At 40.0% G+C, this 6,000-nt stretch overlaps 1 protein-coding gene across 1 annotated transcript in view; it reads left to right on the top strand.

Annotated features, from left to right (window-relative positions):
• Positions 1 to 519: 519 nt before the first annotated feature.
• ZNF366 (zinc finger protein 366) overlaps positions 520 to 6,000 on the top strand; it is a 67,508-nt gene continuing 62,027 nt past the window's right edge. The window contains exon 1 of the mRNA NM_152625.3: positions 520 to 679. The gene's annotated coding sequence lies outside the window, so the exon portion shown is untranslated. The remainder of the gene's footprint in view (positions 680 to 6,000) is intronic.

Below are 6,000 nucleotides of genomic sequence, written 5' to 3'. Positions count from 1 at the left end.
GATCTAGAGTCAGCGAGGAATTGCAGCAATGCTGGTGTTTCAAAGGGCCTAAGAAAAGCCAGGAGTCCTGGCTGCCCAGCCCCGACACTGTCTTACAGGCTGCAGGTTTACCTTGGTTAGCACAACAGGCCAAGCTCTCCCTTGCTCTAAGTCGACATGACATGATTTGTTCCCTTTCGGCTGTGTCAGTTCTGCAAACCAGATACCAGAGGCTGCAGGCTCAGGAGAGCCTGCCTGTCTGGAACACCGTTTGTTTGGACAGGACAGGCCACTAAGGCGTTTCATCTCTTTAAAGCTCCCAGGGCAGAGAACATATTTGAGGAATTCCTTTTTTCAAAGATTTTTTTTTTTTGCCCCTTCCAACATTTTGTTTAAGAGAAAATGAGATGTCTATCTTCTGTTTCCTTATTTTTTTTCAGGAAAGCAAAGGGTTGTTGACTTCCTCCCTCTCCCCTCCCTTCCTTCCTTCTTCCCGAAGGTACTCATCTGAGAAAAAGAGAACGAAGTATTGTTCCTGTTCTCTTTCTTAAGTCATTCGAAACACTGTCCCTGCGAGTTCTTTAAGTTCCCTGCAATCTGTACACAAGAGAAAGAGGGAGAGAGAGAGGGAGAGAGACAGAGAGAGCAGGGATCAGGTAAAGGAGTGGGGCTGCTGCAGCCATTCAGACCTCAGGAGCTGGTAAGTTACCCATGCAATCATTTCTGCTTCCTTTTCAAGGTTCCTGGGTGGATACTGCTGTGGGCATCTTCAACAGAAAATACCTTACTGGGAGTAGTCCTTAACCAAAGGGTATAAGTGATAGATGGCCCAGAATTTCAGCTAATACTTTTTTTTGGTAAGAGAATACTGATGCTTTGCAGAACTAAGGCTGGCAAAACTAGAAATAGAATTACATTGGGACTAAAGAGGACACTGCGTTAAATCTGAATTTTGGCACAGATCATGTGGCTGGGAGAACCAGGAGCCACTGGCGTGTGAGATGTGTCCCACTGGAGAATTTGCTCTTCCTCAGTACTGTGTCCTGGGAGCCTTATCAGGGTGTCTGTTAAGGACTGTGGTTTGCTCTGGGGTTTTTGTTAATACGTTACCTGGATTGAGGTGCCCTTCTCCTGTTCTTTTCTTTCCATTCAGCATCCCCCTAAAGGAGGATTGTTAATTGTTATATGATGGTTATTCTGCATCACTGAAGTAGAAGGGAAAGAGAGAAGGGAATGTCACTTGGAAATAGTTCTGCATGTGGGGAGCTTATGTGTTCAGGTTCCCCATGCGGGTTGAGTGTAAATTTATTATTCACTGTCAGTGGAAGATGTCATCTGCCACATGATAGAAGGCAAAGGTTTTGGGGCATATAGCTTTAGTTTTGGAAAACAATATGCAGCTAGAATGGGAGGATTAAGATGGATCATTTATGTCAGTAGGAGGGAAAAACTAAGTTACAGACGCAATTGAAAAGCATTCACCCAGTGCCTGGTTTTCCAAGCACCAAATAGGGCGTAGCAAGCTAGTCAAGCTAACATACACAACTAGTTTTTAAAAGTCTAACTTGCTTCAATTAGATTAGTCATAAAGGATAATGTTACCAGCACCTATCATCGCAAGCCATGAGGGAGCCGAAATCATGTTGTCAAAAATAGGTCAGCAAGGTCACTCCGAGAGACTCGTTATGTTTCCCAATATTAATACTTTAATTCAGAGAGATGCCGAATGGGTAAAAGCCAATGGCCAAGCATACTTTTTAAAAATATTCACTGCTATGAAATTTACTGATTGAAATCACCTGGGATGTGAAGAATAAGATAAAAATAGCTGGACTCTCATTTTAAAAATTAATTTGGCTAGACTATGCTTTAACCACATTCAAGTAATTAATCTTTATTCAAAATTGAACCATCATCTTACTAAGGATGAGAAAACATGACAGAACTAGACTGTGATGTAGCTTTTGTTCCATTAGTCAGACCTCTTTTTTCTTCTCCTTTTTTCAAGGATTTTCTTTAGGAGCATCATAAAACGAGCAATGTAAAGAGACGTGAATAGCGTTTGCCAGCTTGCGGATGCAAAATTATTCTAATAACAATTGAAAGTGTTTTACTGCTACCCTACCACCTCCCCTAACTACTCCATTTCCATAGATCTTCAGATCAAGAGGTAGCTGGAATAGATTGTCGAGGGCATTATTGCATCATTTATCAGCAACTGTGGCCCCAGAAGAAAACGCAGGTCTGCGATCTTGACTTGCTCCTTTCAGTTTCATTTCTCTTGATAATGTATTGAATTTTGTGCTCAACTAAAACAACATCACAGAACACATTCTAGTTTTGTTTACTGAGTAAAAGCATCAGATGCAACACAATAGGAAACAAATGACAGCAGAGTCATTTGTTAAAGACAAGGAAGGCAATTAAATTAAAGACAAGGAAAGCACAAGGTGGGTAGGCCAGTGGCTCAGAAAACAGCCCCACTGCTAGCATGACTATGGCTTGAGATTAAGAAGCTGAGGATATGCAGTTTTCTTTTAAAGAAAAAAGTGTATTCAATATTTCCATTTAAGTTGTTAAGTCATTGCTGTGAAAATATTTCTTGGATACTGGGGGAAATGAATTTTAGCTACCCGAAGAATAAAAGCCATCGACTAGTTTCATCGAAGTCACTACCACTCAATCTATCTTTACTCACTCACCGCCAAAGAGTGAGTTGGCATTTGTGGAAACTTCCAGTGTGTGATTATTTGGGGGTCATCAGAGGCTCTTTTGTGATATCATTGGGGGAATTCCAGTTTGAAGTGATCCAGAATTTGAGACACACAGTATTTTATTCGTTAATTTCTGCCAAAACTGTACACATAACTAAATTACAATTTCTTATACACATTTTAAATTATGTTAGGATGTGTGTCCTGTAGATCTGTGTGCTGGGATGTGAGTCAAATTAGAGTGAGTAGAGCACAGTCTCTGTTGTTGTACTACTTTTGGTTTGAATTTCAGCTTCGTTGCCTACTGTTTATGGGCCTCGGGGCAGGTACTTAACTGCTCTAAATCTCAGTGTCCCCAAATGTAAAATTGCGTCAACATAATGGAGTTGTGAGAATTAAATACAACTATCGGCATAAAACACTTAACATAATGTTTGGCAAGTAGTAGGAGTCAATCAGTGTCAGTTATATATTTTTTAAGGGTCATATATTAACACTGAAGAGTACTGTATTTTGTTAATACAGAGAACAGAATGAGTCTCCTATAATTTGTGTCATTATTCTTGCTTAATACTATACCAAGGATCTATCAGAGCAGATATTATTCCTCACAGCTTTAGAGTTGGGCACACACTGAGTGAAGATATTCTAAATTCTAAATTCTTATAAAATAAAAGAGTGTAGAGTTTAATGTATTGATATTCATCTTCACGAATGGCAGAAATGGCAGATTTAGCTTCACTGAATGCAGCTGTATTCAACACAGCTCAATGCAGGGGAAAGTTTGTCTCGGGATAAAAGTTTTCAACTTAGATGAACGTGCAAAGAGAGTTCAGTTATATTGTGGACATTTTATTCTCCCTTTCACCCACTTCCCCAACTGCTTGAGCTCTGTGTTATTGGTGACCTTTTCCCTGGTTGTGGAGGGCTGGAGACACTTTTTTTGGAGACCATCGTGGTTGTACCATGACTCAGCTAAAGAGGAAAGGACTTAAAGTGACACATTCTCCTCCTGCCCAGGGCTGAGCACACTTGGGGTTCTCTCTCCTCAAACATTGTAACAGTGAGCCACTCACCTTCACACAGAGAAACAGAACACTATATATCACCATGGGTGTGCGTGTGTGTGTGCATGCACGCGTGTGTGCGCGCGCATGTGTGTGTGCGTGCGTGTGTGCGTGCGTGTGTGCATGTGTGTGTGTGGTGCCTGATTGATCCAACTGCTATTTTTCTTTCACTCTAAACTTTAAAACCTGTATGACCGTTAGTTTGTCAAGTAATAATGATACTTTTACTTAGGTCTTAGTTAAATTTCTCTCCACTTTCCAAAAGCAAAACACACAACAGCAAGAATAACAAAAAATCTACCACCAATAACCAAAGCCATTCAGGTCCTTTTGTTAGACTGAGAGCTTGTGAAACAACAGAGACATGTTTGGACACTTAACCTTAGGGACAAATCGAAGCTGAGTTGTTCTGCACTAACGTGCAAAAGGTGCCCTCTCATGTGGCTTGGTGGAGTAGAAAAAGACCAGATTGGGAGTCAGAACACTGCTGTTCTCATCCAATCTCTGCATTTCCTATATGCATGACTTGACAGGTTGCTTTACTTGCTTGGATCTCAATTTTCTCATCTGTGAAATGACAAAATGGGATAAATAAGTAATTTTCGAGGTGTGCGTGTGTGTGTGTGTGTGTGTGTGTGTATTAGAATTCACCTACGGGCTTGTTTATAGTCTCCTCCTGCCCTGTCCACTTCATGGGATGATCTGTGAGACCCTTTTGCTGACATGCTGTGATTCTCCAAAACAGATGGTCAGTGTCTTGCTCCGTCTTCTTCTGGATGGCATTAACATTAACTGTAAATGCTCGTTTTAAGAGCCATGCTTTTAAATGGAATTCCTATTCAGCACTGGATGTTCTCTCTAGAAGATAGTTCTGAGTATATCAAATGTTATTTTAGAAGCTATTAGTATTATGGAATAAGGAATGTCCTAGCCGGTTGAGCAATCTGATGATAATGATCAGTGTTCTAGAACCATATGTAAATCACAAGATCAATTACTTAGATCTGTAAACATTATAAATCAATATAAATAGCACTTTTTTTTTGAGACAGAGTCAGGCTCTGTCACCCAGGCTAGAGTACAGTGGCACAATCTTGGCTCACTGCAACCTCCGCCTCCCAGGTTCAAGTGATTCTCCTGTCTCAGCCTCCCGAGTAGCTGCGATCACAGCTGCCCGCCACCACGCCTGGCTAATTTTTTGTATTTTTAGTAGAGATGGGGATTCACCATGTTGGTCACACTGGTCTCGAACTCCTGACCTCAAGTGATCCACCTGCCTTGGCCTCCCAAAATGCTGGGATTACAGGCATGAGCTACTGCGCCCGGTGGAATAGCACTTTTTGATTTATCCATTTCTATATTATTTGCATCTTAGAGTGAGCATGTATTTGTTAATCAAGAAAAACACAGATACTAAGCTTTTTCTATTCCCTTTAAAAAATATTAGTAGATTCTATCTCATAAGGTTTTGTTTCTTATTTTTTTACAACGTGTGCTGTGATGAGCCTATTTTACAAGTTAGATCCTTGTCCCTAATTTAATGGTGATGTAGAAAGGCAAAAAGATTGATAATGGTGTTTGAAAAATCAGCATTCACAGGTCATATTGTATGCTTCAATTATAAGGAAAATATAAACCTTATAGAAAAAGTTGTTCTAAATTTCCTGATTGAGTTTTTACCTAAATCACTCATTTTTTTCTTATATGTTTATATGGATAATGAAATAAAGCAGCAATGGACACAGATCTCCCTCTGACAGGAACATAGAGACAGCAAATAATTTTAATGTGCACCCTCAGAAACAACTAGCCTAATGAAGGCTGTTCTTTTAGACTATTCAAAAACCAAATACATTTACATAAAACAATGGTATTTACATAAAAGAATAAGAACATGTCTTCATCCAGCGTTATGTGTAATACATAAGTTCACAAGAAAGGAAGCAGCATGAGGACAGGGACTTTGTTTTGTCCACTGCTGTCTGCCCAGGGCCTACAATAGCACAGAGCCTGTCATAGATGCACAATAAATATTTGTTAAATAGATGAGTTAATGAATCAGTGGGCTGTAGAATGAAAGATGCTATCTTTATACAATGCCAAATGAAGCCATTAATTTGAAAAAAAAAAGTTAGTCAAACTTTTCTGGAGTCTAGACAATGCCAAACTGCCAGCTTGATGGATTTATCCCTCACCTGAATTGACTGGAACTATATGGGCTTGTTCTGCTGTTGTGTGCA

The sequence above is a fragment of the Homo sapiens genome, chromosome 5 (assembly GCF_000001405.40).
Source record: "Homo sapiens chromosome 5, GRCh38.p14 Primary Assembly".
NCBI lineage: Eukaryota > Metazoa > Chordata > Mammalia > Primates > Hominidae > Homo > Homo sapiens.
This window is presented reverse-complemented; position numbering and strand designations above follow the sequence as displayed.